This window comes from Homo sapiens, chromosome X, assembly GCF_000001405.40.
Source record: "Homo sapiens chromosome X, GRCh38.p14 Primary Assembly".
NCBI classification, from domain to species: Eukaryota; Metazoa; Chordata; class Mammalia; order Primates; family Hominidae; genus Homo; species Homo sapiens.
Window position 1 is genome coordinate 100626626 of NC_000023.11, and position 14891 is coordinate 100641516.

Below are 14891 nucleotides of genomic sequence, written 5' to 3' on the forward strand. Positions count from 1 at the left end.
AAAGTTTACTGTTTCATGAGAAAATGCATATATTGCTTTGTGTCTCTTTTTTATTTTATTTTATTTTATTTTTTTGAGACGGAGTCTTGCTCTGTCACCCAGGCGGGAGTGCAGTGGCGCGATCTCGGCTCACTGCAAACTCCGCCTCCCGGGTTCACGCCATTCTCCTGCCTCAGCCTCCTGAGTAGCTGGGACTACAGGCGCCCGCCACCATACCTGGCTAATTTTTTTGTATTTTTAGTAGAGACGGGGTTTCACCGTATTAGCCAGGATGGTCTCGATCTCCTGACCTCGTGATCCACCTGCCTCAGCCTCCCAAAGTGCTGGGATTACAGGTGTGAGCCACCGCGCCCGGCTCTGTGTCTCATATTTTAACAGGTTTGTTTGGGTGCATCACCAACTTGGATTCTGACAGGAGGTTGAAAACATCAAGTCTCAAAGATTCTTTTGTGAGCTCTGAGGAAAACCAGAAATGGTATTTATACCTTGTATTAGGTATTTATTTCCACAAAAGTTTGATGCTTACAACATAAACCCAACAACCCACCTGGAATAGGCCATGGAAATCTAACAAGCTTTTCACACTTAAGATATACCTAGAGATTTCTGCTTCTCAAAATGTCACCTTGCAGTGAGCAACCTGGTGCCTGGAAATAAGGCAACCCACATCAATTTTGGGACATCAAAAATGAATTATTTTAAACATAGATATATAGTGAAGTAAAATGTAAAATTCTCCAGATTTCTATAAAACAAAACTTAAAAGCTCAAAACCCCCAGCCTGTGCCACTAAGGGAAACTCACTCCCTCTGCCATTAGGATTGTCACCATGGAAATGAGCAGACCTACTGCCTCCAGTGGAAACTGGATCTCTCTCTCCAATCTAGTGATCCCTCTTTCTAACCAGCTAGTCTAATTAGCAAACTATTAAAGACACGTGAACTTTCCTTTGTACCAGTTATCATTAGGTGAAATGTTTCCTCATTACTTTCAGAATTAAGTATACAATTCAGTATGCACAAGCACACATCAGCTATAAGGGCGTTTTCTAACTGGCTATCCAAAATAAACCCATCTTAAAAATAAACAAACCAATCCACCTGACGAGTGATGTGTGGTGTTTTTCCTCTTTCTACATTCTATATTTTAATTTTCTATAATTTTTCCTTTTTAATAATGAGGGAAAACTTTTTTTTTTTTTCTGAGATGCAGGTTCACTCTTATCGCCCAGGCTGGAGTGCAGTGGTGTGATCTCGGCTCACTGCAACCTCTGACTCCTGGATTCAAGTGATTCTCCTGCCTCAGTCTCCCAAGTAGCTGGGATTACAGGTGCTTGCCACCACACCCAGCTAATTTTTGCATTTTTATTAGAGACGGTGTTTTACCATGTTGGCCAGGCTGGTCTAGAACTCCTGACCTCAGGTGATCCGCCCGCCTCAGCCTCTCAAAGTGCTGGGATTACAGATGTGAGCCACCATGGCTGGCTGAGGGAAAACTTTTTTAAAAACTCTAAATATAACCTTAAAACATTCTTCAAAACCACTGCAGTGAAAAATATGTATTTGAAAATTGCTGATAATCCTTTAAATATTTGCTTCTTTAATCTCAGTAGCCAAAAATCTGATTTGCTGTACTTGAGTCACTATTTTTCAACTTAATTTTCTTATCACCTTATCCTATGTCAAAAGTCACACATCAAATGTTCTAATGGAGAATATCATTTTTCTGCAATAACTCCAAGCATTTTAAAACACATACTCAAAATTCATGATCATTTAACTAGTAGTTTTTGCCCAGGTTTTTTTCTAACTGTAACTGACTCCCCCTTACCATCAATTCAAGGACTGTGGCAATCAGACTAGACAGGTTCTACTAATGGATGTATAAAGAGACTCAAAACCAAAGAAATAATTCCCTGACTTCAACTCAAATTTTAGTAATTATTATTTTCCTTATTAATTTCCCTATTATCCTGAAGATACAGGTTACATCCCTCCCTGTACAACTTTTTAATGCAAACTATACAATCAAAAAAGTCTGATCTCTAGGAGAACACTAGTCATATGCTACTTTATAACATGGAATATAATTTTTTTCACAGAGAACAGTTTTTTTTAATATTTGCACTTTAAGATTTTTTTGTTTACATTAAGTTCTGGGATACATGTGCAGAATGTGCAGGTTTGTTACATAGGTATACATGTGCCATGGTGGTTTGCTGCACCTATGGGAACAGTTTTTTTTAAACAAAAACATTTTTTTTAATACAGAGTTAAGGCCGCAGGCTTATATTTCACATCTAAAAACAGTACTCTGAATAGAAATGTAGGGCTTAGCTTTCTCAGTGGAAAACAACAACCATTCCAGCAGATTTTCTACAAGTTAATTTAAACACGATCTTTTTAGAGGAAAGCAGTATTTATTGTATAAGAGTTATACTTATTAATCAAAGGCACAAACGAAAACTAAGACTTAAAGTTGACCATAATATTGACAAGTCATATCAACCTGGTACCAGCTAAATTTAATGAAGATAAGTTCCACTGAATTCCTAAGGAAAATACAACAATTCCGACACCATTTAATAATTAGAAACTTTCAAACAAGAGGGAAAGTATGAACATCATAATAAATGCCTCAATTTGGAGGCAAAGAAATGTAAGTTGTGTGCTGAAACCTGATGTATCACAGAACATCAGTAGTCCCTTCCAGTCGTGGATGCCTTAGACCCAAGGCCTTACACTGTTATCACCATCTGGCAACCCTGATGAGGGATGCCATCTATTGACTGACTGAAATTAAATTACACAATGTGACTCTCTGCCTGTCAGCAGAACAGAGAGTCATAAAACATTTTAACTTCTTGGTGCAAATTATACAATCAAACCAGATAACCTTGACTGGGAAGGAGCCAGTTCAGAGGGGTGAATTTTCTATCACACTACATCAATAGCAAAGTCAGAGGAATCAATTTTCCATCTTGTAACACTACATCAAAATAGCAAATTCACAGTGCCTTCCAAAGGCCCCCTACTAAGAAAAATAACAGTCAAGAGGAACACAGTATTACTTCATTTACAATTTACTAGCTCTTCCAGTGTTTCAGAGGGATACAGGGTTTCAACGATCTAACATGAATGGGATAGAAGGTGGACTTAGAACATAGCAAACATACATCTTGATTGAATCAGCCCACTGCGAGCACGGATCTTGATTGAATCAGCCTATTGGTGTAGTTTTAGGTCTACATACATCTTGATTGAATCAACCTACTGGTGTAGTTTTTTGGTCTATCAGTAAGTAGTGTTGTCAGTTCTCCAGCCAAGCAACTTTCTAATTCACAGGGGGGACCCTAAATGTCCTAAAATTAAAGAAAAAAAGTTAATGTACTTGTTACCCAAATTTCAACATCTGTATTTGCTTACATACATTCTAATCTATTCCTGCTAATGAAGACCTTCCTATGTGTTCCTAGTCAGTGGCTCAAGTAAAATGCAAAGTGTGCCCTAGGGATCAATTCAGCCAACAACAGTTCTCACAGTATTTTACCAGTCAAATACTAACGCCATTGAAACACATGTCTTCCCAAAATCTGGTTCCTTATTAGACCAGATGAGTTTACGGTTTTAACAAAAGCCCACCAAAAACATCTTTTTACCAAGAAAGCCACACTCTCAACAACTGATTAAGATTGTGGTAAATGAAAACTACGAAAAGGACTAAGGAAAATGTCAATATTGGTGAGGAGCAGAGTGCACCTGCCAGGGAACCTCACGAATAAGGTCATTCTTGGGATTCTTTGTTTCTCCTCTCTCCAGGCCAAAACATGTTAAAAAAGGGACCACTTATGATCTTTAGGCTGACATGTGTATGTAAATATATAAACCCACACGGGGAGTCTTCTGTTGCATAACTGTAGAGAGCATGCATAGATAAGCTGTAGCTAAGTCATTACTTTCTGACCATGCCCTGTGTATAGAGACCTAACCTGCCTACACAGGGTTTACATAGCACCAGCTAGATTTAAATATATTACTAGACAAGACGTTCTTGGCAAACTTAGTCCATGCATCACATACACAGGCTAGAATAAATATCAACACTAACAGAGCTGAGGACCAAAATGAACGCACCTTAAAGGTAGAGAGGAATAGGCCCACAGATACATTGGGTTACACTATCTCATACTGGTTATTTGTTATGGCACGAGAGAGGCAGTAGGCGAGAAAGATTCCAATCAGCTAGAAATAAAATAGGAACAAAATTAAATACATACACAAAAGAACTTGAACACCTCAGACTATATTCTCCTCTCACTTGTAATTCGCTTATAATTTTCGTCCTTGAGTTTTTCTAGAGTTATGTTTAATACTCTGCAGCATCTAGATCACATTCAAAGAATCTAAGTGAAGTTTTATTGCCACTGTGACCCAGAATTTCACAACTCTCACCAAAGGAAAATCCAGCAAACTCACTCAAGGAAAATTCAGTCACGAGTTTTGAAGAAACTTTTCTTACTCTCATTTCCCAGAAAAAACAAATACATGGTTTTCAATAAGTATCTTAACAAGTGAAATCTCCATCAACGAGGGCAGAGATTTCCCTGGAAAGATCCACAGCAATGCTACAATAATGAAAATGTTCTAGAATCCCTGTACTGTCCGATATAGTAGGCAGCAGCCACATGGCTACTAAGTATTTCAAATCTCCAGCAAACTGAGGTTTTAATTTTATTTAATAATTTATAACAATTCAAAGGTGGCTAGTGGCTACTGCATTAGCATAGATTTAGATATAGCTTTGCTTACTACTTTAAAAATATATTAAGACGAAACTTGAATTAGTCTTATTTCTAGTGTTTAATATAAAAAAAAACGTTCAGAGCCACAAAACAAACTTCATGCTACAGTGGGAAACACAACTTGGGAAACACAATTTGATCTACAACGTGGAATCAACCCCAAACAACTGGTGCATAAGGAATGTGGGGGTGGCATCATCTAAATTTTAATAGGTTGGAACTTGTATACAACTCATCAGGCAGTTGCAGCCCAGAAAAGATCCTAATAACATTTTAGAATCTTGACTGACCGCAGAGAGAACCAAGGTTCCTATCTAATGTTTTGTTTCATGAGCTATGATACTGGAAAGTTGCCATAACTAAGAGGGCACTGAGTCTTTCCACAGTTAACTGCTTTCAAAAGATATGCACTGCTACAAGTTAATTCTAAATCTTACTTTTTTTCTTCTTTTTTTTAATTATACTTTAAGTTCTGGGATACATGTGCAGAACGTGCAGGTTACATAGGTATACACGTGCCATGGTGGTTTGCTGCACCCATCAACCCATCATCTACATTAGGTATTTCTCCTAAATAAAGTATTTTTATACTGTGACCAGTAACTGAGAGTTTTGTGAAAATGCGACTTCCCTAAAAATGTCCTCACTATCCAGTCCCCTGAAGCAAAAACTTATAAGCCTTAAAAGTGAAAATCTCGCTGCATGCAGTGGCTCACGCCTGTAATCCCAGCACTTTGGGAGGCCGAGGAGGGCGGATCACTTGAGGTCAGGTGTTCAAGATCAGCCTGGCCAACATGGTGAAACCCCAACTCTACTAAAAATACAAAAAAATTAGCCAGGCATGGTGGCGCACACCTGTAATTCTAGCTACTCAGGAGGCTGAGGTGGGAGAATCGCTTGAACCCAGGAAGTGGAGGTTGCAGGGAGCTGAGATGACGCCACTGCATTCCAGCCTGGCAACCGAGCAAGACTCCATCTCAAAAAAAAAAAAGTGAAAATCTTCTAGCTTACACCTACAAGAGGGATGAAATATTTCCTAAGTAACTACAAAAACTTACTTGGAAGCAAGCAACTCCAAAGGAAATTCCTGCAACGACTCCCATTTCTGACTCTATAATGGTCATCACCTTTATAAAACAACCCTAATGGGAGGAAAAAAACAAAGATTAAATACAGCACAAGCAGCCTGTGCTTTTCTTTATGGTAATAAATACTTCGATCATATAACTCTGCAGAAAGATATATTTATGGTAATAAATACTTTGATCATATACCTCTGCAGAAAGATGTATGTATCATAGCCTTTGATTGTCATTTTATTGAAATCTATTCTCTTCCATATGTTCTCAACAGAACAAATAATTATTCCCAATTATTTCCACCTTCTGGATTATATATTTAAAAGTGTTACTTCACTTGAACCCAGGAGTTCAAGGCTCCAGTGAGCTATGATCACAACACTGTACTTCAGACTGGGTGACAGAGAGAGACACTGTCTTTAAAAAAAAATACTAAATAATAAATAAACAAAAAAGTGTTACTTGCTGGCCGTCTGAACTCAATTCTTACCCGCCCTATCTATTTCAGCTTATATTTAAAAATTAAAAACTGGCCAGGTGCAGTGGCTCACGCCTGTAATCCCAGCACTTTGGGAGGCCAAGTCAGGTGGATCACAAGGTCAGGAGATTGAGACCATCCTGGCTAACACAGTGAAACCCCGTCTCTACTAAAAAATACAAAAAATTAGCCAGGCGTGGTGGTGGGCACCTGTAGTTCCAGCTACTCGAGAGGCTGAGGCAGGAGAATGGCGTGAACCTGGAAGGCGGAGCTTGCAGTGAGCCGAGAACGCGCCACTGCACTCCAGCCTGGGCGACAGAGCAAGACTCTATCTCAAAAAAAAAATTAAAAACTGGGTCAATTTTGCATTCAGTTAAGTCTTCAAATATTGCCAAATAGAAAATTTTAAAAGGCACCTTACTTCATTGTTTACTTTGTCTGCATCTCTCTGTGGAGTACAATCTTCAAGTTTACAGCAACTCTTAGGAAATCCTTTTTCTGAGTAATAATTAGTATCTGTCCAATCTCTATAATCGGTGACACCACAACAATGCAACTGAAAAACCCAACAAAAGCATTTACAGTTTATATTACAACTTTGTAGTCAAACATTTAACCTAATATCCTCTATTGCAATTTGTGCTCAAAACATTTACTAATCTCAATGATCTCTCTCCTCAATTGATTCAAGAGATGAGCACTGGGTCCCTGATTAGCACCATGCATGACAGTTTTGTATTGGCCTTACTTTCCTGCTATAGTTGGTACTAACTGTACCTGGACTATGATGTAAGTGGGGAAGGAAGAGAACAGGTGCACATGTGAGGAAAATGAAACACGTCACACTTCTTTCCCCTACAGGTGGATAACATCTAGTAGCCAGACTCTGCTCTTTTCTCTGAGGCAACAGGGAATGTGTTCCCCTCTAGGTGGTGGTTACCACTTACCGTATTTTGGATCTTGTCTACTGCATGGCTTCTATAATCTCCTGTAGAGTTATACTGCTTCAAAGCCTTCTCATAATTATTCTTAAAGCTGTTCTTAATCTATAGCAAAGAAACACAATGTCAGTAAGAAAATCCTCTAGAAAGTTTTTGGTTTCAGGTCAAATAAGTTCTCGAATCTGACCAATGGTCATATCTTTGACAGCAGCAACATGTATAGTAATTAACTTCCATGGTACAGTCCTGTCCTCTAAGGGGTATAGGTTAGCTGAGGGGACTACTAAGCAAAACATTAAAATATATGATGAGAACCACTACAAGTTCAAAGTGCTGTGGGAATATGTATTTATCTGAGTGGCAATGCAGTATTGCTGTATTCTGCACCCTGCTAATTTTTCTCCACTTTAAACTGAGTTCAAATTCGATGCCTATGGAATTTGTAAGCTACAAAACCTTACTTTGGGAGGCTGTGCTACCACTTTATGAGAACTCTCATTAATGAGCCTTTGCTACTCACCGAATGTTATTTGAACAACCCCAAGTTTACCTGTTTTCTAATTCAGTATTAAGCTTTTTTTTTTTGAGATGGAGTCTCGCTCTGCTGCCCAGGCTGCAGTGCAGTGGCGCGATCTCGGCTCACTGCAAGCTCCATCTCCCGGGTTCATGCCATTCTCCTGCCTCAGCCTCCCGAGCAGCTGGGACTACAGGCACCTACCACCACGCCCGGCTAATTTTTTGTTTTTTTTTGTATTTTTAGTAGAGACAGTTTCACCGTGTTAGCCAGGGTGGTCTCGATCCCCTGACCTCGTGATCCACCTGCCTCGGCCTCCCAAAGTGCTGGGATTACAGGCGTGAGCCAACGCGCCCGGCCCAATATTAAACTTCTGATGATTTGCATTAAGTATATCCAATCTTTTCAAAATGCAAGGCATAAGAAGGTTATCAATTTTGTGCTTTGAATATTTTCCTATCAGCAAAGTTATAAATTGTACTATCTCCGTTTTAATAGGTATTTATACACAGAAAAACGACAGGGAATATAAGTAAGTAATTTTCTTCTGGTGACTATCAGTCTTTACAATTTTCTAAATTTTCTTTTAAATTAGAAGTGGACCAGAATTTTTACAAGAAGGCCATTATTGTCAGCTACAGGTTTAAATACAGAGGTCTGACTCTTCTACTTTAATAAATCCATTTTTATCTCTCAGAGGATAAATGTAACATGCTAAGCTTCCCTAATTCAGGCTTACCTCATGTCTGAAAACAAATCCTACGATGGCAGCGACCAGTTCGACCAAAAAAACGAGAGTCAGAAACATTGCATACTGCAGGATAAGAAAGAAAGTCCAAGTCAGCATAAATAAGATATAGCACAACTGCAAAGGGAGTCAAAGAAAAAATAATGGTCGTCTTCTCAATTAGTTCATCATGTTTTCATTGAAAAGGGCAGGGAAAATAACAACATGTCTATTTTGAAAGTGGAAACTGGCAGCTGAACTGTTACTTGATAAGTTTCCATAAGGAACAGGAAAAATTGTAAAGGGCCATGGCCAGTTCCAACAAAGGAATTCTATAACATACAAAACTTTTCTAAAACCAAGAATCAATTCTAATGAAAACAAGGACTCACCAGTTTTAGCATCCATGCAGAAGCTCGGCAGGTAGCAAAACAACCAAAGGTGCCCAAAAGAATAATGACGGTACCAGTAGCAATGAGCACGAAGGGGACATTGGTGGCCTTCTCATTTAAAAGAGAAAAGTAATTCTCCAGGCTCACCTTGCCCCAAATGCCAACTGCAAGAAGGATAACGCCAGTGATCTATGTGGGAATTCAGAGAATACAAACAGTTACGCACTGTGTACAGCAGCATCTTCAAATCACAACGCATGAGGTATTTAAGGCACAATAGGTGTAATATGCTGGGATACGGCAGACAAGGGGGAAGAGTAGAAGGGGTTAGGGGGGGATCTGCACACAAGAGCAGGCTGTGGACCAGGTATCTTATCAAAATTCTTAAAATTCATCTTTTTGTGTGTAAACACAAGCCCATGGCATATTTGCCCTAGGGATCAAAACTTCCTTAACTATCTTACTCCAACCTTAGGAAGAAAACCTTGAAGGGGAAAAAAAAAACGTGATTTTATGAGTTCCAGAAACTTCCCCCGTCCTCTCCAGGTAGGGATGGGCACAGGGTACAAAGGACTGGTACACAAAAGCAAGCCCAAGGATAGACTGGCGGGAGTGGAGGCATACCATACTTACCTGCGAAACACTCCTCTCTTACGAAGCAGTGAAAAGAAAGACACTATTATGCAAGTGAGCCCTCAAAGGGGCCGGGCAAGCCTTGCTTGCCTTTGCAAAGGTCCAGGGTCACCGTCTGCGTGCTCTGGGGGCTTAAGGCCCCACCTCGCCTCCCGTATCGAACTCGAACGCTGGTACGTCTGGGTCCCAGCTCAGCCTCTCGGCTGCCTTCGTCCCGCACTCCGACCCCAGCGCCGGCGAGATGCCTGAGCTCTTTGTTCGGGGCCCAGTCACTGGTCGCCGGCGTCGGGGTCCCAGGCGCGATGGCCGCCCAAACCCCACACCGTTCCCGACCTGAGCTCCCGCCGCTCAGGGTCACACCCCCCACAACTAAAAGCCCGGGATCCCCTGCCGGCCCCAGGCGCCTTCGTCTCTCACCCAGAAAATAAAAGTGTAGATTAGCAGAACGCTCTTGAAACAAGTAATGACTGGTTTAGTCTGCAGTCTCCGAGACGGGGACGCCATGACTAGCCCGAGACCCTGCACCACCGCACCGGGCGATTGGAACACAGAGAGCGAGACGCGGAGTCCCCGAGTCTCCCCGGAAACTGCCGAAAACTTACGAGCGTCCACAACTGAGAAGGGCCGGAAACACTGTACAATTTTGTAGAGGGTAAAGTATGGGAGGCTGTCCGGAAAGTGGCAACAATTTCAGAGCGCCCCCTGCCGAAGGTTACCGAAAACTATATACAAAGGTTCTAGTGTCGGAAATTTCATAGGTCTTCAAGTGGAGCTTTCTTCATTGTTTTTTTTCTATCCTAAGGAATCTTTCCCGCCCCCCACCCCTCCCCTCTCCTTATAACTTCACCATATTGTTTCTATCACCAGCAGAGCCCGCAGCGCTCTGAGATTGGGCCTCCCTGGCCCCTGGTGCCCTAGAGAGAAGGAAAAGAATGAAGAGGTTAAAAGCGACCTAAGAAAATACATGGGAAAATACCCACAAGAAATATATTTGCAAAAAGAAAGCGGATTGCAAAGCAATACATACAGTCACGTGTGCTTAGACAAAAACTGAAAGGAACAGTGAAATTTACCTCTGGTGGAATTAGGCTGATTTTTTTCTCACTTGTGTGCTTTTCAATTTGTGAACATTGTTTTATGGGTTAGGAAGGGGAGATGTGAATGGAGGAAAATAATCACCACTTGTTGAAAGAATTTCTAAGCTAGGTATTAAAGATAATAATGACTTTAGAATTTACCTGCAGGACTTTGCAAAACCCCAGTATTCCTCTCCTTTTTTATCCCCTAAGTAATTGGAAAGTTGAGGGAAAGTATTTTTACATAATAGTGAAATGTAAGTTCAGCTATTCGCTGTAAACTTTTAAAAAGAGAGAGTGCAATGGAAAAATCCCTGGTGAGTGTGACCTCCTCTTAAATGTTAAAACAGAAAGGCACTGTACATTCCAGCCACCTGGTTTTTCCCATCAAAACCCAGCTGATTACAGAGAGATTAAAACCTAATGTTATATATTGTGAATATATTGGTCTATGTTGTTACAACACAGGAGGTGCGTTAAGGTCTGATTTCTCAACTAAAGCGTCAGCTCTTTGAAGGCAGAGACTGAGTGTTAAGTGAGTTTGTGTTATCTCTAGAGGAACGGGGTTAGAAGGCTGTATCAGTTCCCTATGCAATCCAACCCTTCATCATTGACACAAGCTTAATATCACAAGTGGCTATTTACTCTATTGCCATTGCAAAAAGACCTGCATTTGTGGAGGAGAGATGAATACTCAAACTTTTCTGCTTGAAACGTTGCTTTAAACATACACCTCAGGACCAGAACACAGGAAAGTTCCATTGACTTGGTCACACAGAGCTTCCCTGTGCTTCGAATATTGACCTAGGACCAGTTCCTATAACATCTTGCCAGACGTCTGAGGTGCAAGGCAGCAACTGTTGGAAAATTAATTATTGCATTGCCAGGCTTTATACTAAAATTTTTACTAAAATTTGAAAGGCCTAATACACAAATACATGGAGAGAATGGATAAACGATACATCTACATACACCTTCAAACACTTTGAGGTAAAGTCGTTAGGAAATACCAAATATTCAACATGGTGGAGGGGGGTGTCTAAGTATATGCAAAGATTTCTCCCTAGGCTAAATGACCCCAACTGAAGGGTTCTTATACTAAAAACAAGGATCAAGGGAAGTCTTGATAACTTCTTGTCATCTTAAAGAGAAGTTTCTCTGAAACTTAGATATGTACTGAAAGGGATTTACAGTGTGAGCCCAAGAGCAAAGAAATATGTCTGTAGCTGAAGAAAAAACAAAATAGCAAAGCAAAAGCCACATCTTATTTCCAAGAATGTGTTGACTTTCCTCCTCTCCCTTCCTCTACCACTCACAACGCTGCTTTGTTTGAATAACACTCGGTGCCAAATTAAACCAAATGCTGACATGGAAATTCATATTCCTATGGCTACAACACCTTGCACCATTGCCTCCTACTCTGCTACACCCACTTCCATCTCCCCACCCCCACAATGCCACCAAACCGAGAAATTCAATTTAGTTCAAACCTAGGCCTGGGTTTGGGTACAAACCCAGACCAAAGGGGCATCTAATCCCGTTTAAGGCAATTTAAGAAGTATTTCCCTAGGCCACTAGATAAATGTATTCTTTAAAGTATTAATAATGACTGTGATAATAAGTATTGACTGTATACCAACCACTATTGCTAAGAGCTTGATACACATTACCTCGTATGCACACATCACAAGAACCCTATTATGAGGTTGACACACCTAGCACCTTCATTTTACAGATGAAGAAACAGGTTGAAAGAGACCAAGTAAGCTGCCTAGGACTAAACCTGGGCAACTTCTGTGTCTTTCATCAGAAATGGGGCCCACTTTGTGATGAAACATAGCTGCTGTTGTACGTACAGCTGCCTCTGCGCAGAGTAACCTGAGTAAAGACTGCTGTTGCACAGACATTTAACCTAAAACAAGGACTCCTCGGAGCCTCTGAAGCTTAAGAACCTCAATGATTGCCCCAATTCTGCCTTGCACTTGGGGTTTTTTGGTTGAGTTTGGCTTTTGCCTTCACTCCAATAGCCCAGCCACCTAGGAAGTAACCCTACCTGCCCCAGAGTGGTAAGGCAGAGAGTTCAGTACTTTTTCTTGTTCAACCTCTTAATTTCTCCCTCTTTCTGAGCACAGAAACACAATTTGATGCCAACAATGTAGGAAAAAAGGAAAATACTTTAAGTATTGTTACTGCTTGTTTTACATGGAACATTTAGTAGCCCCCCTTCCCAATTAATTTCCTGTAACCTTCAAGATTAGGTGTAAATGTTTTTCATTGCTAGACATCAGGCAAGGGAAATGACATAAACAAGGGCTCACTGTTAAGTCAGACCTCCCTTGTGCCACCTCCAGCCTCCCTCCATCCCTACCAAGCCCCTCATCCCAATACAATCTCAACTGATTTCCTACTGCTTTTCCAATGTGAATTTTCTGCTCTGTACCAGGTCAGTATGATCAACCCCCCAATTAAACAAGTCCTATTCCCTAGTCCCTGCCCACCCTCAACTTCACTCATACTTTCTGCTTCTACTGAATATCCAGTTCAATCCCAACTCAGTAAAAAGTCCCTCCTTCCTCACCTCTTTCTCTAACACCATAACTGTCTTAACTACACACTCACTCCCATTAACCCAGCCCTTTAGTCAATTACTGCAATATCTGCTTTGCATTTCTACTTACCTATTCTACATCCTACCGTCTAGATGTTCAGAAACTACTGAAGAGCTAGTGTGGCAGGGCCCCTATGCCCCCTTTTATACTCTCCTCAGTACCCTAGGACATAATGCCCAATTGATGAGTTCATTTTCTGCTCGGCCAATCCCTGTTGAGCTGATTGCTCATTGAGGTCATAACTGGTCTCTGGGAGCAACCACATAGTAATTACTCAGGATTGATTGTTGAAATTAAATAAAAAATTAAATGTCTAAGCCATCCCAGTATCACACTATAATAAAACAGAAAAAATTAAATTGAGTACCTAGATAATGTCTTGGGACATTCCTCTCTCTCTCAGGAACCACTAAAATAATAACAACAACAATAATAATAATAATAAACTGTATCGCTGAGTGTACATCTTATCTCTTATTCACATAATAACTTTACCATTTTCATTTTCTAATCCCTTTTCTAGCATCCCTTCAATTACCTTTGGCTAAGTGCCTATCATAGAATTTAAAGGCGCATCCTACTTATTTTCTTAATATCTCATATTTTATGTTACAGCCATCAGATACCTCATTATTTAAACAGTTAATTCATATGTACAGTTTTAAAAATCCATTTCGTTAATGGAATATCTCTTTATTTCTATTGTCTCTTGTGCATTCCCATTCTCCTTCTCTGAAATTCTATTCTTTGTCTATTTTTATGCCCTTGTTTTCCATCCACTCCTTTCAGATGCTCTGTGAAACCTTTCCTCCCTTTCCATCCCTGATCTTGCCTTCTTCAAAAAAGCTCATAATATACAGTTTGGGACACATAGACATGATAAATACTTTTTTTTTTTTTGAGACGGAGTCTCGCTCTGTCGCCCAGGCTGGAGTGCAGTGGTGCCATCTCGGCTCACTGCAAGCTCCACCTCCCGGGTTCATGCCATTCTCTGGTCTCAGCTTCCCGAGTAGCTGGGACTACAGGTGCCCGATACCACGCCCGGCTAATTTTTTGTATTTTTAGTAGAGACGGGGTTTCACCGTGTTAGACAGGATGGTCTCGATCTCCTGACCTTGTGATTCGCCTGCCTCGGCCTCCCAAAGTGCTGGGATTACAGGCGTGAGCCTCCGCGCCCAGCCATAAATACTTTTAAATGGTATTAAAATTGACAATTCTATGTCCATTTTCTAAGAAAGTTGTTTCTAGTCTAGCCTTGTTGAGCTTTCCTGAGATCTCAACTAGGGAAGTCAGTTTCCATATCTAATATTTCGTAAAACAATACCTTATTTACTGCTGAGGGGCTTCATATTAAAAGTCTTAAAGTTGAAAATGGTACTGAACTTTAAGAAACTTAAGAAATTGAGTATGCCTGGATGCTGTCAGTCTCCTTATCCACCTTTGTCTTATCCTCCCAACCAAACCATAAAGAGAGGTGTTTTATTTTACTTTGTAGCCTCACAGTATCTAACGTTGTGTTTTACACACTGAGTATGTGCTGCAGAAACATTGGGGTTATTATAATTAACCTCACTTGTTTTGGGTGAGCTCTTTATATTATTAATCCCAATGCTTTGCAAGAATGCTGTCTCTCTCTTCTGA

At 40.5% G+C, this 14891-nt stretch overlaps 1 protein-coding gene across 6 annotated transcripts, besides 2 other annotated features; it reads right to left on the reverse strand.

Moving 5' to 3' along the window:
* Positions 483-10479, reverse strand: TSPAN6 (tetraspanin 6). Of its 6 annotated transcripts, XM_011531018.2 has the most exons (9): positions 10168-10479; positions 9566-9582; positions 8933-9121; positions 8553-8627; positions 7306-7404; positions 6780-6914; positions 5860-5943; positions 4134-4241; positions 483-3361 (listed from the first exon to the last, which is right to left on the reverse strand). In XM_011531018.2, the coding sequence occupies exons 3-8, from the start codon at positions 8942-8944 to the stop codon at positions 4173-4175; spliced, it is 474 nt and encodes a 157-aa protein (XP_011529320.1). In that variant the 5' UTR covers positions 8945-9121; positions 9566-9582; positions 10168-10479; the 3' UTR covers positions 483-3361; positions 4134-4172. The 6 variants fall into 6 exon arrangements, with proteins under 6 accessions (XP_011529320.1, NP_001265670.1, NP_003261.1 ...); NM_001278741.1 differs by lacking the exon at positions 9566-9582; NM_003270.4 differs by lacking the exon at positions 9566-9582 and having other exon boundaries at positions 9983-10181.
* Positions 9145-9760: an enhancer, noted in NCBI's record as "NANOG-H3K27ac-H3K4me1 hESC enhancer chrX:99890767-99891382 (GRCh37/hg19 assembly coordinates)". NCBI's record gives its function as "activates a minimal SCP1, AML or CMV promoter by ChIP-STARR-seq in naive H9 embryonic stem cells {active_cell/tissue: H9 hESC(naive)}" and the evidence as "EXISTENCE:reporter gene assay evidence [ECO:0000049][PMID:30033119]".
* Positions 9761-10376: an enhancer, noted in NCBI's record as "NANOG-H3K27ac-H3K4me1 hESC enhancer chrX:99891383-99891998 (GRCh37/hg19 assembly coordinates)". NCBI's record gives its function as "activates a minimal SCP1, AML or CMV promoter by ChIP-STARR-seq in naive H9 embryonic stem cells {active_cell/tissue: H9 hESC(naive)}" and the evidence as "EXISTENCE:reporter gene assay evidence [ECO:0000049][PMID:30033119]".

Bases quoted from the DNA above. Each gene is read 5' to 3' on its own strand.
- TSPAN6 (NM_003270.4), bottom strand. From the start codon at position 10,069: ATGGCGTCCCCGTCTCGGAGACTGCAGACTAAACCAGTCATTACTTGT. The intron at 8,628-8,932 runs GTGAGTCCTTGT...CTTATCCTGCAG, and splicing joins CTGCATGGATGCTAAAACTG to TATGCAATGTTTCTGACTCT. The intron at 7,405-8,552 runs GTAAGCCTGAAT...TCTTTGCTATAG, and splicing joins GATTTGTTTTCAGACATGAG to ATTAAGAACAGCTTTAAGAA.